This window comes from Homo sapiens, chromosome 15 (assembly GCF_000001405.40).
Source record: "Homo sapiens chromosome 15, GRCh38.p14 Primary Assembly".
In the NCBI taxonomy this organism is placed as follows: domain Eukaryota; kingdom Metazoa; phylum Chordata; class Mammalia; order Primates; family Hominidae; genus Homo; species Homo sapiens.
Genome location: NC_000015.10, coordinates 100,849,584 through 100,877,305, shown reverse-complemented (window position 1 = coordinate 100,877,305; position 27,722 = coordinate 100,849,584). Strand labels below are relative to the sequence as shown.

General features: G+C 48.5%; 1 long non-coding RNA gene across 8 annotated transcripts, besides 1 other annotated feature; it reads right to left on the bottom strand.

Moving 5' to 3' along the window:
• GCAWKR (gastric cancer associated WDR5 and KAT2A binding lncRNA) lies at positions 428-27,554 on the bottom strand. Of its 8 annotated transcripts, NR_160704.1 has the most exons (9): positions 27,136-27,554; positions 21,958-22,075; positions 17,271-17,506; positions 15,980-17,150; positions 15,739-15,857; positions 15,401-15,570; positions 14,964-15,079; positions 12,556-12,630; positions 11,849-12,077 (listed from the first exon to the last, which is right to left on the bottom strand). It is a non-coding gene; the product is annotated as a gastric cancer associated WDR5 and KAT2A binding lncRNA (long non-coding RNA). The 8 variants fall into 8 exon arrangements; NR_160703.1 differs by lacking the exons at positions 11,849-12,077; positions 12,556-12,630; positions 14,964-15,079; ... (2 more) ...; positions 15,980-17,150; positions 21,958-22,075 and adding exons at positions 428-3,483; positions 9,867-9,948 and having other exon boundaries at positions 27,396-27,554; NR_160709.1 differs by lacking the exons at positions 11,849-12,077; positions 12,556-12,630; positions 15,739-15,857; ... (2 more) ...; positions 21,958-22,075; positions 27,136-27,554 and adding exons at positions 428-2,104; positions 3,314-3,483; positions 9,867-9,948 and having other exon boundaries at positions 14,964-15,463.
• Positions 27,428-27,722: an enhancer, noted in NCBI's record as "tiled region #9420; HepG2 Activating non-DNase unmatched - State 10:DNaseD, and K562 Activating non-DNase unmatched - State 4:PromP". NCBI's record gives its function as "activates a minimal TATA promoter and a strong SV40 promoter by Sharpr-MPRA in HepG2 and K562 cells {active_cell/tissue: HepG2 | K562}" and the evidence as "EXISTENCE:reporter gene assay evidence [ECO:0000049][PMID:27701403]".

The window sequence follows — 27,722 nt, the reverse complement described above, 5'->3', positions numbered from 1 at the left end:
TAGCTGTGGCCTCAGAGGCAGGGACCACAGGGGCCGGGAAGGAGGAAGATTTATTTTTGCTCACAGTGGGTTGCTGGGTGTTTGGTTCAGTGATGAGGTGCCTGAGCATCGGAGATGGCAGAGGCCCAGCCCCTTCTGCTCACATCCCTGAACTGAGTCCCAGCTATGCACCCTTGGATGGGATATTGATCTCTCTGAACTTCAGTGTTCTTTTCCATAATCTCCTTCCCACTTACTTTACAGTGTTTGGGGAGGCTTAAGCAAGATAAGGCTCTCAAGAAGTGCTACCTACATACCAGCTCTTCATTTTCATATTCTTCCTGGAGACTGGTTCCTCTTTGCTGGCTTTTCTTCTTGGAAGTCAGCAAGTTCCCCCCACTTGTCTCTGGCTTGCGGGAGCCCCCCAAGTCAACAGTCCCTCTGCTCATTTCATTGTGAAAAAGTATTTATTCATTTTGTTTCCAGCTCTGTGGTGCTGCCGTTGTCTGCTGTTTGTCTTGTTGGTGCATCAAATGAGCTGAGTCCAAGACATGTCATGTTGCAGGCTTGTTTGCGGATGACCACTCAGTAAAAAGAAGCATGAATAAAAGACAAAGATAAAACAGAAGTCAGGTGGTCACCCCCTAAGTTCAACCTCATTCCATTTCTAAACCCATAATCATCTGTGGGTGATGTTGAGGTCTGAAGCAAACGTAGTGAATAATGATGATGACGTTGATGAACCCCCTACTGTGTTTCATGTTATTTCAGATCTGGTACCTGAGCCTTGTGGAGAGACGCCCAGGTCTGCTGAGTACCCCTTGTGTCCCCGCAGCCTCTGGCCAGCTGCAGAGCTGCCCCTCCCACCCAGTCTACTCACCTCCCTCAGTGTTGTGGAGTTGAGGCAGGGGCCTGAGTCTTGGGTGTGCCTTCTGAACCCTTCCTAGACAGCCAGGCCCCTGGGCTGAGGGTAGTTCTTTGATGTAGGGAAGCCCGGTCACCCCACTGTGCAGCACTCAGGCCAGTGCTTGGGTGACTCAGGGAGGCGACCTAACTTCAGGTTTTTTGGCTACAAAATGGGGGTGGCATGTGCCCCTGTGGTGAGGGAGGGCTGACTTCACTGTGAGCACCTCCTTGCTGGTATCAATGAAGTCAATTCCATGTTTCATGTGAGTCATTCGGTATCGCCTCAACCTGACTAGAATAGGCAACTACTTACCTTTGAAGCTCACCGTATATTAAGACCCATCAAATACTACAACATTGTTCTGTCCTCAAGGAACACACAAACAAATCTTTTCCCTGCGAGTTTCCATCAGTGATTGATGATATCGAGGCAGGAGCACCCCAGGTTGGAGAAAGAGGAGCTGATAACACCCAAACAAGGTGAAGAGAAAGGAGCTGCCAGCCCACCACACAGCTCCACCAGCTGCTTTCTCTCCAGCCCTGCCAGTCCTTTCTGGCCCTGGGAAAGGCCTTCACTACACAATGTTAGGCTGAGGCAAATCAGTCTTGGACCAGGCAGAAGCCAACGGAGAACTCATTACATAAAAGCAAAGAGACATCATGGTATTTGTGGGTCAGGCCCCAGTGAAGCCACACACACATGCACACACACATACACACATACACATGCATGCACACATGCACACACACACATGCACACACACACAGCCTGCCAGTTCACAGCTGCCAGAGATTTCCCCTTGGTCTGTCTTCCAGTGGATGAGAGTTGTGGCCCAGCCAGGAGAGAACATGGAGGGTAAGGTCGAGAGAGTTGGTTGAGTACCCAATAGTTCTCTCCTTTCTTGCCAGTGGAATCCCATGTTATCGAGGGTGGTAGTGGGCTTTGATAAACATATTTCCCAGCCTCTCTTGCAGAAGTATAAGCTGAAGTTTTTGGTTTGGGCTTCCAAAGAAGCTCTTAGGCATGGTGGCTTATGCCTGTAATCCCAGCACTTTGGGAGGTCGAAGTGGGAGGATCACTTGAGGCCAGGAGTTCAGGACCAAAGAAACTCTTTACATGGGACTGAGTCAGCTGAAAGGCTCTTCTTCCTTTCTGCTGCCTGGAACACAGACATGAGAGCTGGGTCTCCAGCAGCCATCATGTAACCATAATGCAATTCTGAAATGCAAGTTCCATGGTAAGGAAGTTGGAAGAGACACTTAGGAAGAACGTGGGTCCCTGATGGCCCTGGAACCAGCCCTTCATCCCTGGATATTTTTTCTTGGATTTTTTTTTCATGTGAGAAAAAGGAAAATCCCTATATTATTAAAGCCCACCATTTGGGTTTTCTGTTATATGTGGCCAACTTAATCCTAAGCAGCATAGCTGGCTGTTGGCCATCGCTATGACAAGAAGAGCAAAATTTTAACTCAAGTGGAATAATGATCTCATTTTTGTATAAACGGAGCAGCACAGACATAAAACTCTTATCACCATCTCTGTTATTTTGACCTTAATCAAATAACCTTGATGCGCTGTGCTCAGGTTTATAGTATGTTAAAAAACAAAGACAAAAACTAGCTCTGGGATGGAATAAATGGAGTAAGCTCACTGATTCATTGGATGATGAGGTCCTACTAGGGAAGAGAATCTCTTTGGTACAAAAGCCCCGTGGAGCTGCCATCCTCTGGTGCTCATAGGTGTTAGTTGTGTCCTCACATCTACTGAGGAAGGCACCAACACTCAGAAAGATTGAGTGACTGAAAAAGTCCCTGGGTCACCCAGACCTGGAAGATACTTGGTCAGGCCAGCACTCAAATCAGGCAGCAAGAAGTCAGACTTTGTTTTAAAGTAAACAAAATGTCACTCCATATAATCAGTGAATTTTGCTCATAATACTTCACACCCCTCAATACCACCACCGGCAAGTCTCAGTGATGTGAGAAGTTGTTTGCAGACTTTCCAATCTCCTTCAAAATTCAAGAATTCTGAATTTTGAACCACACTTCTTGGGGTTTCAGTTCAATTTACTCCAGACAAAACATACTTCCTGGTTAAAAGGAAAATTGTTTAAGGGGTCTTACAAAAGAAAGGGTTCAGGAAGATTCTTGGACACAAAGTGGTTCTTGCTAAATAATTGTCCTGAGATAAGCCTAAGAGAATCAGAAACACACACATTGAATTTCCCTTGAAATTCACATGGGTATACCACTGTCGGGAAAGGGGGCTTAGCAACATGCATTTTGCCAAACCCAAAATGTTTGAAAAATGATTTGAGTATGTGCACGTTTGGCAAATCACTCTTGGGTTCATCTATCCTAGCCCCACAGTGACAAGACTTTCCCCCTGCCCTTCATCCGGGACCCCCTGTAAAGGAGCATTAGTTACCCAAGAATCTTCCCTTGGATTTTTGCCATGCTGTGAGTCCTGGGGTGGAGACCAAGGTGGGGGATGGAGGGGTTGTCAGAATCTGTGTTCTCATGGGAATGCCTGGGGATCCTCTTGCAGTTGTGTCTTTGTGTAATGAGAGTTACTCAGGCAGCACTCTTGAGGTTCCCCTGTAATCAGAAAGCGTCTATAAAGCACATCATGTCTTATAACATGTTTAGGCAGACAGGAAGCCTGTTATGTATGTAGCAGAGAGGAAACCTATTTATGTATATTTTCATCTAGTTTCATATGGCATTATGGTGATTCTAAAACACTCCACCCCCAGGGGAATAGATTAATTAGTGACCTATAGTATTTTCATACCTATAATGTCCTTTATTATTGAGCATATCTGCAAGCACTGAGTTTGCATCACATTACACTCTATTATACATTACATTGTATTATATATTATATTATTTGCAAAGATAGTTCATCAATTAAGAGACAATGAATTGGATATGGTGTATTTTCCACCAGTGAGAGTAAATAAACATGAATATTAGGAACAAAACATGGGATTATAGACTTTATAAGGTGCATGTCAATGTGCATCTTCTATATTCCATGGATACTTCAGCTATCATGAATTTCAGCGCATTTTTTTTTTAATCCCAGGAAGTCCTAAGCTTTTCCACCTGCTTACAATGTCCAGAGATTTCACTGCACTTCTCCTGTTGGCCACTAGATGTCACAGGACCAAGTTGAGTAGGAAGTTGCCACTGAAGTTCCTTCTATGAGAGAAGCAGGTATTTCCCAACTTAGCAATAAATGGCATTGCAAGAGCTTGTTCACAGTACAGTGCCCAAAACTTCAGTTGCACCACAGACATGATGCTAGAACTGGTGATTAGTGCCCAGGCTAGCCCACAAAAGCCTACTCGCTTCTCCATAAGCCTAAAATGGGTTCCTAGCTTTGAGATCAAACAGATGTGGGTGCTGTTCTCAGCTCAGGGAGAAATTGGGCCTAATCTTTTTCAACCACTGTTTCCTTTTCTGAAGATGGGAGTAGTAATTCCTGCTCAGCAAGGGAGTCATGGGGGTAGGTGAGGTGGAGGTGCGACAAGTACATTTGCAAGAAGATAGACAAGACGTCACTGCTGCCTGACCCTTGATGAAGCTCACAGAAAGCACCACCCAGAACCTTGTCCTACTGGCTGTGAGGCATCACCCCTGAGCTGGCTGCTCTGTTGGGCCCTGGGTGCCCACCTCATCCCCATCCCTACCTGTCCCTCTCACAGACAAGACAACCCAGACCCCCCAATAGAAATTTGCAAAGGAATTGCAAAAGGATAAATAATGGCAAAGGATAAGTGTGTATGAGCCTAGGAGTTTAGCCTTGCAGGCGGGTAGACTGGGAAGGATTCCCACGGGGCATTTGCCAGCCTCATTGTTTCATCTCCCTTGGTCACAGATTCCTCGTCTGTAGAAGATGATGGTTCCTCCTTCATGGGATGAGAAATGCAACTGAGATCGCTGATGTGACAGGGCCAGCCCCTGCCTGGCGTATGGTGGATGCTCGGTTTATGTCACTTGAGAGACTTTCTTGCTAGGGAGATGGACTTCAGTCTCTTCCTTCAGCCCTGGCCAAGAAGCCTCCAGCTGGGCGGGCAGCTTCTCAACCCTTCTAGAACTTTCTTCCCGGTCTTCTCTCTGATCTGTGCTACAGGCGGCTTTCAGCAGCTCCAGACTCTTCTCTGGCTCATGCCAGGCTCCATTCCCCCAACACCCATCCCTTCACTTGTATTTATGCTTCACTGCAACACAGCAGACACTTTTGGGGCTTCTTCTAGGAATCTATCTGGCTTTGGGTTTCTGAACACCCAACTCTGCCCCGACTCGCTTCTCTCTCTCCTGTTTCATTAGCCATGTATCAGGGCTGATTCTTCTCAGTCTTTTTAGTTTCTTCCCCATGCTGCCTCTCAGGCATTGGTGGGGCACTGGCAGCACTGTGTAGACAAGGATCTTGACTCTCATCAGAATGTCCTGATTGATTAGTGATGTCTTTCGTGGGCACAGGATGCAGGCAAGCCCTAGAAACTGGCCTTCTAACGTGGTGACATGCACAGGGGTCACCAGGGATCTTGTTGACAGGCAGGTTGCATTCATAGGTCTGATGTGGGGCTCAGGGTTCTGCCCTTCTAACAAGCTATTAACAAGTATCTAACAAGCTACTAACAAGTATCTAACAACAAGCTACCAGCAAGTATCCTCCCTAGACTGGCAGCATGAGCATTTACTGGGAGCTTGATAGAAATGCAGACTCCCAGGCCCTGCCCTAGACTTATTGAGCCGGAATCTGCAGGTTGACAAAAGCCCCACCCAGGAGCTTCAAATACACATCATGGTATGAGAAGGGCCACCAGGCTCTGGTCTGGCTAATACCTGGCCTCTTAGGAAAAGCAATCCCTGCCCCACCAAGAGCCCACCTTGTCAGAATGGCTGAAACGAGCTCCTCTTTTTCTTGTTCTCTGTTTATTTTCAGGGTGGAGATGACATCACCTTCTACTGTGAGACCAAGGATAGCCCAATACTGGTCCCAGTCAAGATCCCAACTGCCCCCACTGTTTAGAGGCTCCTTACAGCTATACCCAAGGGAGTGTTTTTGAAGGATTTTAATCAACACACTTTTATAAGATGAGAGCCTAGAAGTACCAGGGCAAGACTATTAACAAGAGGTTCTATCTTCATTATATTGCATGCAAATTGCTCTTTATACTGCTCTTGAATTCTGGGGCTTGAGGAAGGCAGGCTTACTGAGAAGGGATGTATACTCTGGGGAAGAAGGAGGGACCCTCTGTGTACAGTGGAAGTTAGGCCCTGTGCCCATCGGAGAGGCTGCAATGAATCTTACCAGGCTAAGAGCCCCACTTTGGGATGTGAGGCCCCAGGGGCAACAGGGCACGACAAAGTGTTTCCCCAGAATGGCTGAAGGGGGACATCAAAGGGACAAGTGTGGACAGTGGACAGTTGAAGCAGGCAATGGGAAGGCAGAACTGAGAGACGGCCCCAAGCCTCAGGTTGCAGAGGTGAGGCAAGGACAGAGTGGGGCCGTCCACGTGGGCTCAGAGCAGCCGCCCTGACTCAGGCTGAGTGGCTTGAGATGAAGGCTACAGGCAGGCTGTCTCAGGCACTCAGCCCCGTCCGGTAGTGGCCCAGGCTCCTCCGTGAGAGCATTGACTTTAGGAGTTGTGCATATTCCAACTCAGGAGGTGGCCACATTATTATATACATATGATTTTGTAGACACAGAATTATAATGATGTATTTATTTATGTAGTTCTTCTTTGCCATCGGTCTTCTTTACTAGACAGAGCTCCCATTTATGGTATGAACTGAGAGAGATTCAGTAGCTAGTTCCAGGCTCCCCGGCTCCGGCACTTGCATCTCTAACCCCTGGGGTACCTGGTGGAGGTCTCTAACCCTCAGCTTCCTTCTCTGCAAAAGTGGGTGGCTTGGTAGTGCACAGCTATGGGGACAGCATGGTGTCCCTGTGCTGGGATGTTAAGGAAATGGACCTCTCCAGGTGGGGGTGCTGGTGCTGGTGCTGGCTGGGTGTGTGGTCACCCTTCAGCTGCTCAAGGAGGGGTCTCCAAGGCTACGGCGCATTTATTGGCCAAGGTTAGCCTTGTGATTGGTCCCAATGGAATGGAATGGAAAATTGACTGAGGGAAGAGAAATTTTTCTGTGATACCCGAACAAAGGCCTTCTGAAGTGGAACTAACTAAAGCATGAGGAATGACCCGGAGAATGAAGGAATAAAGCCTAGTGCTACACTACTCTCCTGCCCAATTCCCAATCCCTTTCCACTCAGAATCAGCTGCCCCCCGCCCAGCAAGGACTCCCACGATCTCCCTCTACACTGCCTCGGTGCTGGCTGGCCAGGGTGCCCTCTGTTGCTAAAACAGAATCACTCACTTCAACTCATGGCCTTTGCGATCACCACTGCTCCTGCCTGGAGTGCTCTTTTCCTCAGATCTTTGCATGACTGATCTCTCCTCAGGAAAGTCTCAGCTTAAATGCCGCCCCCTCAGAGAGGCCTCCCCTGACCAGTCTGTCTGAAACCCCACGACCTCACCCTTCCCTCCCACATCCCTTTCTGTCATCTTTATGGCCCTGATTATACATTTCCTCTTTGTTTGCTGACGGACTCCTGATTCTAGAACTGAAGCGCAAAAATGCAGGGGACTCGCCCACCCCGACACCAGCCACCAGGTGGCGTCATTAACCCAGGACAGCTTGGTACCTACTATTGCAAGGGGTCCCCAAATACTCAAAATTGGCACCTTCACCAACTAGGAGTTGGATAGTTTATTAGCAGATTTGCAGTCAATGCATCAGGACTAATAGTCTTTCCAGAACAAATTAAAATGAGGCCTTAGGTTGGTGTCATAAAAAACAAGTTCTGCTTGTTTTCCCACTCGTGCCTGGGACGTTTATAGATGAAGTAACCCTGTCAGTGCTTAGCATAGTGTCGTATCCCTGGCGGAGACCAGAGAGATCTCCAAAACCTAAGTCTTTAGAAAGTCTGCACCTGTGGCACAAGCGTGTGTCCATGGCCATGGAGTTAGCTGTTAGCGAGGGTGGAGGAGCCCAGGCCACCTGACTCCCAGCCTGGGATGCCTTCTTCCATGCCATGTGGAAACCCATGACCCCAGGCCTGTGCCAAAGCACCCTCTTGGTTTGTATTTTGTAAGAGGTAGAATGGTTAATCCTGAACAGAGTGGACTTCTGGTAAGCCAAAGGGTTTTTTGCTCAGTTACAAAGCATTTTAGGAGCTAGGCACCATAACTGCAGAAAAATAAGACATCCCTCAAAGAGTCTGTAATGTAATGGAGAGAATAACTATGTCTGGTAGAATAATGAGTGATGAATTCAAGATGCTAATGACATCCTGGAGAGGAAAGAGTAGAGGTAAGGGATGGTCCTCTTGGGTATAGGGAAGGTTTTTAAAAAGAGGGAAATGTCTAAGATTGTGTGGTTGGGCCTCTGTGTTGTCACTCTATTTTGGCAAAATAAAAGCCGGCAGCATTGTTGTAGCCATATTGAAAGCTCCAGGGAGTTCCAGCTTTGCATCTGGGCGAGAATATGCCAACTGTGCTGGGGCCCTGGGGCTGGGAGCTTGGTGGCCCGTCATCCTGCTGGCCTGCCGTTTCTGCCCAGTCCTAGCATCTCTGGCAGAAGGTATTTTTAGAGTGTGCTTTAAAGACGGACAACTCCTCAGAGAGTCACCAAATGGCTTCAAACTCTGAAAATGCTGAAAGTAGGCTTGACTTTGCTGTGGCTAGGTAGTATCCTGCCTCTATGTTGGGACACAAAATAAAGGCCACCAATCTTTTAGAGGTAGTAGAATTCCTCCCGAGGTGGGTTGGAGAGCATTCACACCCCCACCTGTCTCCCTCCATCTTACACTGGTGCTCAGGAAGCTGCACTGTCAGGCTGTGTGGCACAACCACCTGGGCATGTTGTATTTGGGGTGTTGGTCTCAAGAAGGAAAACACTCTTGGTTATGCTTTTCTTTTTTCTTTCTTTCTTTCTTTTTTTTTTTTTTTTGAGGCAGAGTCTTGCTCTGTTGCCCAGGCTGGAGTGCAGTGACACAATCTTGGCTTGCTGCAACCTCTGCCTCCTGGATTCAAGTGATTCTCCTGTCTCAGCCTCCCGGGTAGCTGGGACTACCAGCAAGTGCCACCACACCCGGCTAATTTTTGTATTTTTAGTAGAGACAGGGTTTCTCCATGTTGGTCAGACTGGTCTCAAACTCCTGACCCCAGGTGATCCGCCTGCCTTGGCCTCCCAAAGTGCTGGGATTACAGGCATGAACCACTGCGCCCGGCCTGGTTATGCTTTTCTTAAAATGTAGTTTGCAGCCATAAGCTAGTCCATAGAACAATCTCTATTTTACCTTGTATATAGGGACTCATAAGCAAACTTATTTTTTAGCCTTAAGTTGTGTAGGATTTGGTACCTATTACATGGATTAAATAGGAAAAAAGTTTGAGGTAGATGGCCTGGCACACATTGTCTATAACAGATACTGCTTACCTATAGGCCCCTCTCATCTAGCAACTTCCTAGCAATCTAGCAACAATCCAGCAACTTCCTTTCTGCTAACCTTTGTGATTGAAGAAACTTATTTTTGGTAACTTTCCCAATCCACAAAACCAATCCCATTTTAAGGTGGGAGAGTGTAGTGTAACAATGGGATCACTGTTTTTTTGTTGGTGAGATGAAAATGTTTAAGCTTGGCCCTAACACCAGTTGCTATTGAAAGGTACTGCCTTGTACAAAATAACAAACCAAATCCCAGACTGTCTGTTTATGGTTATTACGGTTCACTTCATTAAGCCATAACTCTGATTACATTCTTTCTCCTGCCCTACCCTGAAGGCTGAGCTCTGAGGCCAGGGGGCCGAGCCTGCTCTTATCTGGGAACTGCCGTGTCCAAAAACATATCTGGGCAAAATAGATGAGTTGTGGACAAAGGGAACTCTCAGGCTTTGAGGGGACCTTACCTGAGGGGCTCCTTCCGAGCCCTGGAGTCATGCTGCCCCTCCTGAGCACCTCGGCTCTTGAGGCTCCAGGTTCCTGTTGCACCTGCAGAGATTCAAGTGAGAAATCTCTGGTTGGAGAAGGTGCAGGTGTGAGTTTGCTTTAATCTGAGATAATAAGGCAGACTCTCAAAGAATGAGATGGAGTGAACAGAGAGAAGCCCACCGTTGTGGGCACGGAGTGTGGATGTCCCTGAGCCTCCGTGTGTCAGCCCATCTGTTAAGTCAGCTTTCATCTTCGTGACATTTTCCCAGGGCTCTCTCCTGCTATAAATGACTCATGAAACACATGAATTAGAGACCATCCTCAACCCCATGCAGGCAGCCCTTGACAGTGTGCTCTTGGGGCAGAGTTCTGGCCTCAAATGCACCTTCAGGAGCATTCCTTTGCTCAAGAGGCTGAGTATGGAGGAGGAGACAAGGCAGGCAAGGGAGGTGGGTCGCTCTGGGTTCCATTCTCCCCCTCAGTGGTGTGGGACCTTCAAGCTCTTTTGCCTCTCTCTCAGCCTCCTCACCTATAAAATTCAGTCACACCTACTCATGGGGCAGCAGCTAGTCCCTGGCGATGGGCTCCACGAATGGAGCCTCCTGGTGTTCATGTCTCTGTACGGTCCCTGGCTATGCTAACTCTGGATTGGTCCTGCCACTGCGTCAACTACAGAGTGCTGAGTCATGGCAGGCCAGTTCCAGGCCTGATCCTTGGGAAACTGGGCAACTTCTGCCTCTGTACTTTTGGGGGCCTGAGCATCCATGTAGGAAGTCCAGGTAGCCTTCACGAGAGACGACATGGAAAATCCATGTGCAGAGGGAGAGGCCCTAGCACCCCAAGGAGAGACAGACAGGCCCAGGTGTCCCAATGTCCTAGCTGAGCCCAGCCTCCCAGGCACTCCTGCCAAAGCTCCAGGGAGGTGAATGCAGTCACCTTGGAGGTCCAGCCACTGCCGCCACCTGACTGCAGCTGGATGAGACCCCAAACAAGACCAGCAGAGGGACCCTCTAGTTGAGCCCCAGTGAACCCTTAGAATCATGAGAAATTCAAAAAATGCCTGTTGTTTTAAGCTCTGAGCTCAGGGGCAGTTTGCTATGCAGGGACAGATCACACGACATGGGTATACCCTAAAGTCAGGAATGCCAGCTGCCTGCATCACCCCCACGGTGAGGATCGGAAAGATTTTCTGTTAAGTCTCAATGCAGCTCCTGGCACATGCTCAAAAATAGCCGGTTTTCTTATAAATAAATGCAAATAGGTGGTTTTCCCTCTCCTGTGCCCTAATTAGTCTAAACACTGACCTCTCATGGGCCCTGGCTCCTGATATCCTTAAATCTTTTTTTTTTTTTTTTTTTTTTTGAGATGGAGTCTAACTCTGTTGCCCAGGCTGGAGTGCAGTGGCCCAATCTTGGCTCACTGCAACCTCCACCTCCTGAGCTCAAGAGATTCTCCTGCCTCAGCCTCCTGAGTAGCTGGGATTACAGGCACACGCCACCATGCCTAGCTAATTTTTGTAAAGACGGAGTTTCACCATGTTGACCAGGATGGTCTTGAACTCCTGACCTCAAGTGATCTGCCCGCCTTGGCCTCCCAAAGGGCTGGGATTATAGGCATGAGCTACTGCACCCAGCCCCCGATATCCTTAAATCTTGTTTAACGCCATGGAAGGAGGGTTCAGGTGTGCCAGCCCATTGGCAGAGCCATGTTGCAGGGGCATCTCGTTCAGCAAACATTTACAGGCCTGTTCTTATGTGCCAGATGCCACACCAGGCACTGAGGCTCCTGCAGACGGCACTGCAGACAAACCACTGATCTCATAGCTGGTACATGGCGGGGAGAAGACAGACATGGAATGAGAGGCTGCAAGTGTGAGTAGTTGTATGGAGAAGTGCAGAAAGGGGAGGGCTTACTTTGGTTTAGTTCAGCTGCAAGTGATGAAGACTAGAAACAACATCAGTTAAAGAGGATACAGGTTTATTTTCACCTGAGAGAAATACGGCCTTGGGCAGTCTAGGACTGGCAAGGCAGCTCCACAGTCACTCATCAGAGTCTGATGTCTTCTTTCTTTCTGCTCAGCCCTCTTAGCTTGTAATGTCCATCCTCACATTGGTCCCAAGATGGCTGCTGGAGCTCCAACCATCATGGCCACATTCCATGGGGGAAGGGCAAAGAAGAAAGTTCACCTCCTGTTTTAATTATCCCCCTTTTGAATAACTTTCTCTGAGGCATCCTCTACCCCTAAAGTCTTCTGCTTACACCCGCTTGGCCACAGATGTCTGTAAACTTGGGAAATGTAGTGCTTTAGCTGCCCCAATAATATAAGTGTCTGTCAGTCAAGAAGAAAGGGGGATAGGTTTTGCTTGGCAACTGGCATCCTCTACCCCAGGGACCACTCCCAAGCACAGAAGTGACATTATTCAGCAGAAAGAAAGTGTGAGCCAATTAGACAAAGAGCATTACAGATGGAGAGACTCAACCCCCACAGAAAACCCAGAGGTGAGAAATCTCATGAATCCTTCAAGGAATTCACAGGAGTCCAGGGTGAACCTCTTCCCCCTCAGCATAATTCCCTCATCTGTTTAGCAGGAGCTTACTTTAGCTTAGGATCTGGGAAAACACCGGCCTCCCCTCCCACCCTGAGAAGAAGCTGAGGTTACCATTCACCTTTGGGACTGAGTGAGTTTCCGCTTTTCCCTGAGAGCAGACTTGACAGATGAGGGACACGGAGGAGCTAGGGCTCTGAGACATAAAGCGGGGAAAAGAGGAACTCTTAAAACGAGGAGAGATGGATCCTTGCCTTCCTCTTCTGGGTTGAGGGGTCTAGGGGACCCCCTGAAGCAGCAGCCAGGGAGGCTACAGCCATGAGACTTCTGGCAACTTCCAGGAGGACCTGGCACGCTGCTCTCTGTTTGCTGATTTAGTCTAATAAGTGCATGAAACAGTATTTTCAAATTGCAATCTCCTTAGCTCTGGGGCCTATACCAATGATTCCTCGAAATTCCTTTTGTTCTGATCTCACACATCAATTCAGCACGTGAGGGGTCTGAAGGGAACTCCATTAGAAATGCAGGCTAGATAAATGTAAAACATGCTGTTTTCTTTTTCTTTTTCTTTCTTTCTTTTTTTTCTTTTGCCTTTCAACACCTGGGGCCTGCCAAGCCCACTTCAAGGAAAGGGGCTGCATTTTAAGTTAGCCCTGTTTTCTGGAACTGGTGGGAACGTCTTCATTTTTCAGATTTCCGCCTGTGGTTACCTCGCGAGGCTTCTCAGCCAGGCCCTGCGTGTCCCCTCTCCCACTGCATCCCAGCTCCCCCTGGCTGGATTCCTCAGCGCATCTGCTGTGGGCTGGGTGCCCAATCATTTTCCATTAATGCCTCTGGACAGAGAGGCCTACACAGCTGCACAGCTTGTGACGCAACGTACCCGACACATATACTCCCTGCTTGTCCCCGGCCAACCCTGGCCAGAGAGCCATCGGAAACTGGTGTTTACTGGGAAGTGATTTGACTCTGTAACACGGTGACCACAAGCCCCATTCCACTGGCCGACACGGTCCCAAATATTTCCTTCTCTCATGAGCTTCCCATCCCCCTGCCCCGACAGTTGCTGTTTAGAAAAGTGCGGCTCAGGAAGGGGAGGAGAAAGTGGCAGCCTCATAATCTGGGAACGAAAGAGTCTTTGCACACTGTCATTAGAGGTCTGTACATATTGGGCAAAATGTTTATAGTTGCTCTCTTGAAAAGTGAGTTATAACTCCTTACATTTACCCAAGTCATCGCTTTCAGGATCTGACTCTCGTTTCTTAGAAGGCATTACATCGCTTTAATATGCAACAGTCTAACATAACATTAAATCATTTTTAAAAGTTTCATCTAGTTGAGCCTGAGCCAAGGTATTCTTGGGTTGGGTTTGCACATCCACCCTTTTGTTTTTTATATAGTTAAAAAGAAACACACGGCAAAATACCTATCAAGTGATCTCACCCTTGCTGGTGTCCAAGAGTGATATCTTGGCTAAGTGGGTCTCTTTGATTTCTAGGGGCCCCAAAAGATGGCTTCATTTTCAAGACCAGCAAGTGTTCTATGTGTGCCCACCACACACACCAGACTGCAGTGTGCGGGGGTGGGAGGAGGTGCCTGGGCTGGCTGCAGAATGGAAAAATCATGGTTTTCCAGGGATGCCAGGGACTTGAAGAGAGAGAGGCTGAGCCAGAGCTGGGAGGAGAGCAAGTGCTTTTGCCCCTTTTATAAGAGATGCTTCAGCAAAGCCTTCACCACACATGTCCTCCATTTCCCTTCTGCAAAAGGCCCCCATTCATTCACTATGGCCCCAAGTGAGGGCTGCTGTCCCAGGAGTCTTTGTCCTAACTCCTGCACCAAATCTCCTCCTTTGTTTGTCCTCCAGACCATCCTTGGAACCTTTCTTTATTTGTTTATTTTCGAGACGGAGTCTCGCTCTGTCACCTAGGCTGGAGTACTGTGGTGTGATCGTGGCTCACTGCAACCTTTGCCTCCTGGGTTCCAGCGATTCTCCTGCCTCAGCCTCCTGAGTAGCTGGGACTACTGGTGTGCACCACCATGCCTGGCTAATTTTTGTATTTTTAGTAGAGACGGGGTTTCACCATGTTGGCCAGGCTGGTCTCGAGCTCCTGACCTCAAGTGATCCACCTGCCTTGGCCTCCCAAAGTGCTGGGATTACAGGCATGAGCCACTGCTCTCAGCCTCTGTGGAATCTTTAAATGGCCCTCAGTCAACTCAGCTTGGGTTAGACTTGGGTGTTCACATGCCTGTCTCCCCACAGGCAGTAAGAGGGGAGCCATGTCTTGGTCACCCAAAAATCCTGATGGCCTTCCAGTGTCCTTTGGTGACTCAGTGAATGCAGCAGAATCCCTCACGTATGCAGCCGGGGAAGATGGGGAGCTGTCGCTTCCATTGCCATCTCCTGCCTCCTGCCCAGTGTGCAGCACAGCCCAGCCCCACAGCCCGCCCACCCCCAAGATCCCCACTTCTCACTTCCTCACTCCATTCCTGCCCAGGCCTTGCCCTGCTGGCCTGGGGATTCCCCCAGCTCACCTTGGTTCTTCAGAATATGTAGTGGGGGTGGTAGAGATACACGTAGGGATATCTGGTAGGTGTGACAACATTCTTCCAGTCTCAGCCACTTCCAGAAGCTGCCCAAGTCCTTGAGACTAGGTGATGGTCGGGTGGAGGAGGAAGTGGTTAGGGAAGCAGAGACCCAGATGGCTGCCTCAGTCCTAGGTAGGATGAGGGCCTAGGGGTAGAGTCTCCCTGGAGCAATCTGAGGACTCACTGGATAATCCACCCTCTGTCTTCCTCCAGGGACCTGGGCCCTCTGGAGCCTCTTCCTGGAGCCTCGTTGTGGATGAGAGCCACCCTGGCCTCTGCCCCGACCCTGGACATGTCTAGCAGGGCTGGCACCAGCTGCCCCCCAGCAACCCATGAGCCGACTCCAGCCGCCGGGGGCCTGTGTTGCAAGCTGGGCCTCTTACTGCTCTCCCTGGGCTTGGCCTCTCCTCCCCAGTTGGCTCGGCTGGTCTGGAAACAATGACTGTGGACAGAAACGACTTCTCGCGGGAGTTTTGGAAGCCGCGGCTGGGCATCAGCAAACAGCTCTTGCACAGGGCAGTGGCTCCCGAGGAGACGCAGAAATGCTGGGAGGCTGGAGGGGAAGTGGCAGAGACAATAGGAGGCATTGTGTCTTCTCCCAGGAAGCTGTGCTTTGCGTTGCTTCCAAGAAAATCGACTCTGGGGCAGCTCCATCTATTCCAAAGCAACAACTTTATGTGATTATGTTAGTCCCAGGCTCAGACAAACGCGCCCTTCCTACCTCATTAACAATGCCAGCAGGGCCCAGCTGTGCCATGGGGGGGCTCCGTGCCCTAATTCGTCAGACAAGGGCGGAGTGTAGGAAGTCATAGGAACAATGCATCTCAGAGCAGAAGCTGTCTGTGGAGGGAGTGCAGCTTTGATGTAGGGCATGGCCCTGATTAGGGTTGACGGCTAGGGACGGTCCATGCTCGGGAAGGTGGCATAAGCCCGGATGGCATTTGGGATGTGGGGTTTTGCACCTGGGTCTGTTGAAGTTTGATGAAGTTTAACACGTGCAAACAGTGGCTTTTGTTCTGCAGGACAAAGGCCTTCCTCGACCTGGGCCCAGGCTGAGACCTTGGTGGTGGCACCGTTTCCTCCCCGTCGCCTCTTGTCACTCTCCTTGTGGAAGTTTAATTAGGACAACGAGTTTCACAGGCTCATTTCTCACTCCAGCAACTTTCTAACACTTCCTAACGAGAAAGCTGGAGCCTGAGGACTGTGGGGCAGAGAGGGGGCTATGGGCCTGGCCAGAAGGACCGTTGAGGGGACTGGGAGGGGCTGGGGTGCATGGAGAGGAGCAGAACAGGCACAGAGGAAGCACAAAACCACAATGGGTCCCTGGAGAACTGTGGATTGATCTGGGAAGAAGAGAAAATAAAACAAATCCTAACTGGTCTTTGTTTTCTGGGTGGCCAGACAGTATTTTCCCCAAATTCTCTATGGTTCTGGAAAAGAAAGCAAAGGATCAATCACTGTTGACTTTGTGGTTTTCAGAACTGGATCACACGGGCCGTTACTTAACACCTTCAACTCCTCTTACTGCCATGTAAGCCTTTCCCATCCACAGGGTTCTAAACAGAGAGGTCGTGATGACCAGGCCAGGCCCCCAGCCCACTCCTGAACCAAGCTCCTCACTTTTTATCCAGGTGTGGACACGGTGGAGGTCCCCTGGGCAGGGGACAGGGAACCCACATCAAGGGCATGATCCTGCTGACCTCAATGGAGATACTGGCTTTCCTGGGCCCAAAGAGCATGAAGAGCTGGGGGTGGAGGGACAGAGGATCCCTGTGTATCCTCACCTGCATCAGTCAGTATAGTTCAGGTTGTGCTGCAGTAACACCAAAAATGTGGGTGCTTCAACAGCACACGGCTTGCTTCTTCCGCTGCTACACATCCATGGTGGGTCAGCTAACAGCTCTGCTCCACATCACCCCAACCCCTGGCCCCAAGCTGATAGAGCATGGTCTCATTATTTATAACACTGGCAACTGGTTTGATAGAGGGAGAGAAAGAGGTTGTGATGGCACACTGGCTCTTGAAGTGCCCTCTTGGGGATGACACATCCCAGTCTTACTCAATTTCAAAGTTGCGTGGATATACGTAACTTCCAAGCAGGGGAGAGAGGTCATCCTACCGTGATTCTGGAAGCTAGAACCAGAAATATTTGGTGAGTAGTACTAATAACCTCCTGTTTTAGTTATCTGTTGCTGTGTAACAAATGACTCCAAAACCTAGCGGTTTAAAATCATAACCATTCATTTTTCTCACCTGGCAACCCGGGAGCAGCTTAGCTGGGTGATTCTGGCTCAGAATCTCTCATGAAGTTGTGGTTAAAATGTCAGCCAGGGCTGCAGGCATCCGAAGGCTTGACTGGGGCTGGAGGGTCTGGCTCCAAGATGCCACTCACATGGCTGCTGGCAGGAGGCCTCATTGCTTTACCATGCAGATCTCTCCAATGAGCTGCCTGAGTGTGCTCATGACATAGAAGCTGGTTTGTCCCAGAGCTAACGATATGAGAGAGAGAGAAGGAGAACAAGCAGGAAACTGCAGTACTGTTTAGGACCTCACACACATGACCTCTGCTTTATTTTATGCATGAGAAGCAAGGCACTAAATCCAGCCTACATTTAAGCAGAGGGAAATTAAGCTCCACCTCTTGAAGAAAGGAGAGTCAAAGAATCTGGGGTCATATCTTAAAACCACCACACCTACAATAGTTCCCCAGGTGACCATCACAGGGCTGCAGACCCATCTGGCCCTGGTTCAGCCCAGGCTCTTCATTTGTATCCGGGGGCCTCTGCATCTGTCCCTGTCCCTCTCCAATTGAGACAGGAGGAGAAGCCCCAGGAGGGTAAGAGGAGGAGAGTGCACACCTTTCAAAACAGTCTCATGGTAAACAGAGACAAAGAGAGAGAAGGAAGGGAAGCACATGAGCCTTTGGCGTCTTTAAACCTTAATATTCTGTGGCCCCCTCTCCAAACTGAGGATGCCCTCTGACAGCTGTGTGGGCTGTCAAGGAAGATTTGAAACTCTTCCTACCCATAAGAACTTCCTCCCTGGCTGAGCACACTTCACCACTGGTGGGTGTGGCCTGTTGGAGTCAGGGGTCTCTGCCCGGGCAGACAGAAATGCTCCTTGTGCAGAAAGTGAGTGAGCAGGTGGGCTCCTCACTACCTAAGTACACACTAAACACACAAGCTTCCCAGGGGATGGGAATCGATTTTGCGCTACAACAAAATATACCTATCCCTTTGAGTTATGAGTGAAACTTCAGGACTAAGGCTCTGCTATCCATCCTGGTATATGTGAGACTCCCGGCAGCAATTTGAAACGATCAGAGCCAGAGACAGAGAGGACAGAGTAAAGGCCCTAAGAGAAAGCCCAACAGGAAGTCGGCAAATTGAGTGAGGGAGTCAGGAGATGGGCAAGGCTCGCCTGGCCACGGGCTTGACCCAGAGGCTCTAGCTTGCGATGGGCAGGAAAGTTTTCACACACACCCTTTGATGGCCCACACAGACGTCAGTGGGGCATCCTCAATTTGGAGAGGGAGCCGTGAGAATACCACATGTAGAAAATGACCCTGCCCTGGTTGTTTAGAAAAGCTGTCAGGAAGGTCAGTGGTCTTCTATTAACCTCCATCTCCTGTATTTCTAGAACAGCTGGGGTAGACAGGGGAGGTGTTTTGGGTTCTCACCTTTCCTGGAATTCTGGCCTAGTGAGAGCTCAGTGACTGAAGGCTCCCTTCTGGGACCCTCAGGGGGCTGCATGTAAGTGGGGAGGGCCGGGGCAGTGCTGGCCCAGAGGACAGGCACACAGAGTGCAGTGGGGCCACTGTGGGCTGGGGAGGGTTGCTGGCCACAAGGCAGCAGATTTCCTGACATAGCCTTACTATTTACTTTTTGGTCAATAATTGGAAAAAGTATTGGAAAGAGAGAACATATGGAATTTGGCCTAAAGAAAAGTTCAGGGGACTTACTGGAGCCAGTAGTCTCGTCCTACAAGTGATGCTCTATGTGGCTGAGAACTGGGCTGGAGGGTGCTGGAGGTGGCCTGACCCCAGGAAAGCCTTGTCTGTCCATGTGCATGAGGTGGAAAGCCCCAAGGGACTGAGCTTCCCCTCCAGAGCCACTGCCCCTCCTCCTGGGCAGCAAGGGTGGGAAACGGTTACCACAGCAATGCCCCAGGGCTGCCAGAGCTTGTTCAGCCTGGGCCAGGTCCTTTCTTGGGGGTAGCTTTTTCCCTTTTAATTATTTTTTTTCTATCTCTCCTGCTACTAAGTCTTCGTGTCCCCCTTTTGCGAACAGTTGAGACTTTGCTTTCAATGATGAGATTGACCCCTGGTTGCCCATCAAAAAGTGGTGAATGAACTCCTGGTGGGACTGATGATTGGTACAACTCATGGGAAATGGTTTGGGAGAATCTACCAAAGCTGCACATCCTCTGTGGCCCGGGAAGTTCACTCCTAGGTTCACCAAGGAAGAAAGTGCTTTCACCCAGAGATGTAGATGAGAATGTTCATGGTAGCTTTATTCCTAAGAGCCATAACTGGGAAAGACCCCAATGTCCGTAAAAGGCAGAACAGATACATAAATATTCACACACAGGAACACTAACTGCAGTGAAAATGTAAGAGCACAACTCTACAGAGCAACACAGATGGACCTCAGGCATGCACCCTTGAGAAAAAGCGCCTGCCAGCCAGAGTGTATGTAACATTCATAGTTCCAGTTATGGAAAATCCAAGGACAGGCAAAACCATTCTGGGGGATAGAAATTAGCACGGTGGCTCCCTCAGGTGGGGTCTTGACAGGGAGGGGTCTGAGAGCCTTCAGGGGCAAGAAATGTTCTATTTCTTGATATTGGTGGTGGTTACACAGATATACACACAGGTGAAACATTCATCAAGATATGCCTTTCAGATGTATGCACTTTAATGTACGTGTGTGATATTTAGACAGTAAAAGAAAGGTAAAAGAAGGGGCAAACAGGTTTTCTATATGTTCTGGGCTTTTTGGAGTTTTTAAGCGATGCTTCCTTAACAATGAAGAATTGGCCATTCCATAAAAAAAAAAAAAAAAAAAACCAGTGCACATGTCACTTTGCCTTCTGGACTTTGGAGTCTTTCCAGGAAGAAATAAGTTTAGGGGAAAGTGACACTCTAGTCGTAGAACTTCCTCCCACCGAGGAGGCGATGCTTACCCCCTCCCCTCCCTGTTGAGGTTTGAGCAGCCAAATAGTTTCAACTTTCAGATGTCATCTTCCAAGCAAAGAGTTCTCATTATGGTCTAATTACCTTGGCTATTAGAAACAGGAAACGAATAGCTAAGCTATTGAACTTGGGGAAAAGAAGAGAACAGCGTCCTACCAATACTTTAAAAGCTGCAGAAAGATCACTGCCCAGTCTCCTCAGGGCTATTTGCCTAATTATATATTTTGCAAATAAACTAAAGAAAGAACGAATTCAAGACAGTGTCGTTTAAATCTTTCAGATAAATAAAAATAAATGTGTGGTTGGAAGCTATAAATAAATACATTTTATATTTTAAAATGCCTAATTACATATTTGCCTAAGGAATTTCTGCACATTGTGGTAAAATTAATATACATAGTGCATTTTCCCCCGAAAGATATAAATATAAAAACAAATATAAAATGCTCAATCTTTCTGATTGTGTAATGAGTTCTGGTCAATACAAGTTCTTTTTCTTCACTAATATTTACGGTTTGGGGGAACATTCTAGGGAAAGGAACTTTGTCAAAGGGACTGTAGTGGGAGAAAATCCCAAGAAATAGGGGGTGCCTTTTTTCCTGTCAAGCGCTTTATATAACAGTCATCTGCCCTCCACCCCCTCTTCCAACCCAGAGAGCATTTCTCCTAAGAGAATGGTGAAAAGTGGATCCCTAAATGATTTCCCATTGTTCTTGTAAAATATATGTTACACCTCCAAGCCCAGAGAATGGGCCCCCATGAGAAGCGTGTCCATGCGGTTCTGCTGCCAGCCTCTGTGATATCGGATACCACATGAAAACTAAGAAAGCAAAGAAGATAGACGTGGAAACACTGGGAAACAAAATCTGAATATTTTATTTCAAAGGGAAACTCTTCATGAATGTCTCTCCCTGACTTTGTGAGACGTGCTGAGCATAGGCATACTTTTAATCAAGTAAATTAAAGTTGCTTTAAAGCAGGACGAAGCAGCCAGATTGCATCCTGCTAGAGAGACCAGCTTCGATGAGTAGAAACGCACCAGGTTCCTTGAAATAGGACGCTGGACAGGAAATAATTTCTGTTGCCCCACTTTTAAGGAAAAATTCTACAAACAAATAGAGCTCTTTATCAACAGTTCAGAAGTAAAGGAAGGCATTTTAAAAGGGTCAATCAGATGTAGACTTTCAATCGTGTTTGTGCCAAGGACAGAGCCTCAAGCGTGGCTTTAAATGGTTTTCCGTCACTGTCAAAGCACAACTGTGTATTTAGCAAAAGTTACTGGCTTTATTAAAATTTATTTCCAATTATTAAAATAACAATAGCTCGACAGGAATGTGCTTCCTCCTTTGAGTCAAAAGTGTGTATTTGGCTTTATTTTTCCAAATAGTCATCTAAGATGCTACACGAGCTACATGGCTGATGAGTTGCTGAGACTTGCAGGTAATATTCACACGCAGGTAAGGGTGGAAGGAATGATACAAGAATTATCACACAGACACAACTGTATTTTGTTGTTATTTGGTGGGTTGGGGGGAAGCTATATTTTTATAACTGTCTTAGATACCCAGAGTCAAACAAGGGCATTTTGGCCAGGCGTGGTGGGTCACGCCTGTAATCTCAGCACTTTGGGAGGCCGAGGTGGGTGGATCACCTGAGGTCAGGAGTTGGAGACCATCCTGGCCAACATGGTGAAACCCTGTCTCTACTAAAAATACGAAACAATTAGCTGGGCGTGGTGGCAGATACCTGTAATCCCAGCTACTCAGGAGGCTGAGGCAGGAGAATCACTTGAACCTGGGAGGCAGAGGTTGTAGTGAGCCGAGATCGCGCCACTGCACTCCAGCCTGGGCGACAGAGCAAGACTCTGTCTCAAAGAAGAAGAAGAAGAAAAAAAGGCATTTTATTGGATGTTGGAAATTGCCTATTGTGTAGACAAATAACTGTCATTGGACCACCCCTTTTCAACTGAGCCTAGGTGCTACAGCCCTAGCATCTCCCTGGAGCTCCTGGGAAAGTGCTATCTTTGACCTTACCTCATGCCCAGCTTAGAATCTGCCTCTCCTAGGCCCCAGGGCACTGCCACACCCATGAGTGTTGGTGGAGAGGGTTGGAGGGTTGAAGACTACACATTACATTCAGGTGTCGAACAACGAGGGGCCCAGAGATGAGTGACAGCTGTTCCCTTCCAGCAAGGACTTTGTATTTCATTAAGACTAAGAGACGTGAGTAAAAATGGGAGTTATCTTCAAAAAGTTACACCGGTGTTTGGGTCTGCATTTGTCATAGATGCCCCCTGGTTCTCCACACCTGGGAATGGTCCTACTCTCCTTTTATCAATGAGTGCTGAGGTCACGGTCGGATGGACATCCTGAGCCCTACGGCAGCCGGCCTTGACTCCTGCCTCTAGCCTGGCCTGCGTTGGGTTCTTACAGCCATCCCTTTCTGTGACTGCTGTATTAGCCATGGCGTAAGGATGAAAGAGCAGCATTAAGTTTTCTTCTGGAAAGTCAGTGATCTGAAGGAAAGGTGGGATCACAGGGTTTCACTGGTTTCCAAGGGCAGTCATCCACAGACATGTCCCCTGATTGAGCCCATGCCACAACACCTGCTCTCCTGCACACACAGCCAGCATTCTTATCTGTGATGGCTTCAGGAGGGCACCAGTGTCTGGGGGCAGGGAGGGTAGATTTTAGGCCTCCCATCTCTCTGCATCCTTAGCCCTTCCTCTTCTCATCTTATCAAAGGTTGCCTGGGAGTTCTGTGGTCCTTGCCAATGTAGTCCTTCTGTATCGATGCGGGGCGCCCTCTGCCATTTGCCTATGGCTGACTGCAAGAGCCAGGGTCTGCTGAAACCAGGCTAAACAGAGCCAGCGAGAGGCAGCTTTGGGCTAGCCAGTCCTCCACAGACAGGGGTGTGATTGGGTCCTAGAAGCCCCCTCTCCACTGTGGGCCCGGGGAGGCCGCCCCGGATAACATGTTCCAGGTGTTCAGCCCCAAAACAAAGAGGCTTTTCTCTGCTGCCTGAGAATGAAGAGTCCTCGCTAGTTGCATAAGGTTTTTCCGAGATGGTAATATTTGGTTACAGTAAGATCTGTTATTTCACAGGAAACCCAACAGGGGTGCCTGTAATTGGATTCATGTAGTAACTGGGAAAGCTCATAGCAGGGAGCTGGGGGCAGGGAGGGGGGGACCCTAGCTCCTTAACACAGCGTTCAGTGGGGTCAGTGTTCAGCTCTCTGAGCAGAGCCTTGCATGAGAGACTGCCAGGTCCCTGGCCACCTCCCGAGGTCAAGGTCAGCCATGGAAGCTCTGTGCGTTCCTCTAAGTCTAACACCCCACACAGTTTCCAGGATCCACATAGTCCACCCGATTTAATCTTAACTCTAAAGCCCGAACAAGCAACACTACCCAACAGGGCGGAATCCAACATTTCAGTGTCAAAAGCCAATTGCTGCAGATTTGCTGGGGACACTACAGTATTTGGTACCCGAAGTACCTACTTTTATAAAGTATCTGTGATGACTTGAAAGAATATAGGTTTCTCTACACAGCTTATATGAATTCATCTCCTTCCAGGAATTCTTATGTATATATCACTACTACATCAGTTAAATAAATCTATAATTCACCATAAATTAATATTTATATCAATTAACATGAATGAAATTAATATAACTGGATATTCAACTTAGGATGTGTATCCATGGCTTAAAATCTAATGCACTAGGATATATTTTATCCAAGATCAAGTACATTAAGAAACACATACATGTGAGTGCAACGAAATAAGGTTTTGATCAGCTCCCAGATCTGATGATGTATTTACTTAAGTCCTCTCAAAGGGTTGGTTTTTGCTGTCCAGGGCCAGGCAGCGACATGCTAAAGGAGTGAGAACCTCTTCCGAGGAGCACAACAAGCCCCCAGAGTCACTCTTGCTTCCCCTTTCAGGAGGTGCCCATGGCCAGTTTCTCAGACACATGATGGGGACAACATCGGAGAACTTTAATCCCAATGACAGGAATTGTGGGAAACTAAGAGTTCTAATGACCGAGTCATTGTTTCTTGTTCTTGTGAGTCCATCTGTTGGGGAACCAGGGCTGTTGAGTGATGGGTCTAATTGGTGACTGGCAGTCATGGACTTGAAAGATGGGGGAGAGGGTTGGGGATGGCATACGTGGGGGCTCAGGGGGAGGGTGGAAACCATGAACGTGGGTACTTTGAGTTATTGTTAGCTCCCAGATCCCTGCTCCTGGCCTCCCACCTTTACCCTGGTCCTCCAGGTGGGCACACTCCCTGCTGGACTCTGATACGTACTGCACTAGTCTAGTGAGGAGCACACTGCTTGGGTCATAAAGCTGTCATCTGGAGATGCCTGGTTTATAACTGTCAATACGGGCTTTGGCCCACTTGCACTGGACCTGGCTTCCCAGAGGTGTTTACCACAGCTTGGAGTAGTTGATATAAATAGAGTAGAAGTACTTGATAAAACCATCACATACCATCCTCTCTCACCCATTTTCCAAGGTTTGTTTGTTTTTGTTTTTTGGTTTTTTTTTGGTGGAGTCCCCCTCTGTCACCCAGGCTGAAGTGCAATGGCGTGATCTCGGCTCACTGCAACTTCTGCCTGCCGGGTTCAAGCGATTCTCCTGTCTTAGCCTACCGAGTAGCTGGGATTACAGCCACCACACCTGGCTAATTTTTGTACTTTTAGTAGAGGCAGGGTTTCGCCATGTTGGCCAGGCTGGTCTGGAACTTCTGACCTTTGGTGATCTGCCCGCCTTGGCCTCCCAAAGTGCTGGGATTACAGGTGTGAGCCACCGTGCCCTGACTGTTTTCCTAGGTTTTAATATATATTGCCTTTCTGCCACTACAGACGTGTAGAACCGGGCCTCCGCAGGTGCCAAATGCTGCCTGTCCCAAGTCTCAGAATCTGCCTGTTCTTTACTTTCATCTGTAATATGGGTTGGACACTCAAATTATTTATATGTATTATGCATGATTGTTTTATATTTTTGACTCATTAAAATCACTCAACAATTAAAAAATAATTACAAGTATTAAAATATTTAGATACTTTGTTTCAGTTGTTTCAACTTTGTCAAAATCATGAAAATCACTAAAAGATAAACTTTCTCCTGTCTAACTGAACTTTTGTACCCTCTGACCAACATCACCCCAACCCCCCACACTCTAGCCCCTGGTAACCTCCATTCTACTCTGTTTCTGTGAGTTCAATGTTTTAAGATTCCACCTGTGGGTGAGATCATGCAGTATTTGTCTTTCTGTGCCTGGGATAAATAAACTGTTAGTTTATAACACTTATTTTAAAGAGTTTTTTTTTTGTTTGTTTTGTTTTGTTTTTTTGCGACGGAGTCTCGCTCGGTCACCAGGCTGGAATGCAGTGGTGTGATCTCAGCTCACTGCAACCTCCGTCTTCCGGGTTCAAGTGATTCTCCTGCCTCAGCCTCCGGAGTAGCTGGGATTACAGGTATCTGCCACCATGCCCGGCTAATTGTTTCGTATTTTTATTAGAGATGGGGTTTCGCCATGTTGGCCAGGCTGGTCTCAAACTCCTGACCTCAGTGATCCACCTGCCTCGGCCTTCCAAAGTGCTGGGATTACAGGTGTGAGCCACTGCACCCGGCCTAAATAGTTTTTAACTATTCAATATAGAGCTGGAGGCCATTGTCCTCAGCAAACTAACACAGGAACAGAAAACCAAATACCACATGTTCTCACTTATAAGTGGGAGCTGACCGATGAGAACTTACGGGCACAAAAGGGAACAATACACACTGGGGTCTATTGGAGGGTGAAGGTGGGATGAGGGAGAGGATCAGGAAAAACAACTATTGGGTACTAGGCTTAATATCTGGGTGACGAACTAATGTGTATAACAAACTCCCATGACACAAGTTTACCTGTGTAACAAACCTGCACATGGACCGCTGAACTTAAAGTTAAACCAAAAACATTTAAAAAGTAAAGAGAAAAAGAAAATAAGATAAAATCAATATGCCCACTTTCCTCATCTTTAAAATGAGAGTTGAGCTCTAGAAGGTCTCCGGTTCCTTCAGTCTCTAAAATTTTATGTTCTAAGTTAAGTTTTTATTTGTTAGTTCCCTTTTAGCCGGCACATTCCCAAATAAGTATAGCCAGATCAGCTTTTTTTCCCCCCGAATGACATTATGAAAGATTTTAAACATATAGGAAAGGTGAAAAGACAATACAACAAATACGTGTGTACTCAGCACATAGATTCAGCAATTGATAACATCTACCATATTTGCTTTGTCCCTATGTGTATGCCTGTCCTTGTCAAATCATTTTAAATTAAGTTCCAGACATCCTGGCCCTTTACTCCCCGAGATCTCAGCATGCGATTCCTAGAAATAAGGACATTTTTCTGCATGACACGACACAGTCATCACACCTGAGAAAACAGACAATACTGGACTCAGTCACCTAACTGTAGTGTCTGTGGTACTGTAATATCACCTAAGAAGACGCACAATGTCTCTTTCATTTCTTTTCATTGAAAACAGCACCTCCCACTCCCCACCCCTTGCACTTTCCCAGATAACACTGGCTTTTGAAAAGAGGTGCGACCAGGCGCAGTGGCTCACGCTTGTAATCCCAGCACTGTAGGAGGCCGAGGCGGGCGGATCACGAGGTCAGGAGATCGACACCATCCTGGCTAACTTGGTGAAACCCCGTCTCTACTAAAAATACAAAAAATTAGCCGGGCGCGGTGGCGGGCACCTGTAGTCCCAGCTACTCGGGAGGCTGAGGCAGGAGAATGGCGTGAACCCGGGAGGCGGAGCTTGCAGTGAGCCGAGATCGCGCCACCGCACTCCAGCCTGGGCGACAGAGCGAGACTCCACCTAAAAAAAAAAAAAAAGAGAGAGAGATGCGACATAATACCTTGTCGAATGTTCCATTTCCTCACGGCGTTGCTTAATGGTACTTTGAAAGTTCAGTCTAAGGCTGGCTTGGGTTCAGGTTCAATGTCATTGGCTCCCTCCTGAGTGGGGCTGTGCGTCCCCTCGCTGTTTGGAGGGGACGTTCGGAGCAGCCCGAGAGGCCACCATGCCCCCCGCCCCCCGCTCCCGGGTCCCCGGGAAGAGGCAGCCCGACGGCCCGGCTGCAGACCTCGGCTCTCCCGCAGGCTGCGGGTGGGTTACCTGGCTCCGGGAGACCAGGTTTCCTCGTCTGGGGAGCGCAGCAGTCTCATAGCTGCCGTGAGAGGGTTCGCGACAGAATCACCGCGAAGGGCGGGAGGACCCGGATCGTCGGGAGAGGTGGGCTGCGTGCAGCCACTGCGCGGGGACCCGGATGCACGCACAGGGCGTGGCAGGGGGCGGGGCAGGGCCGTTCGGTGGCCTGTGTGGAGCGATGCCACCTGCTGGTTCTGTACGTCCAGGGGGGCAGCGTGTGCACAGCTCTGGGACCCCGAGGTCCTCGGGGGGACACACTGCTCTCTCCAGCGCACACAGACTCCACACACACAC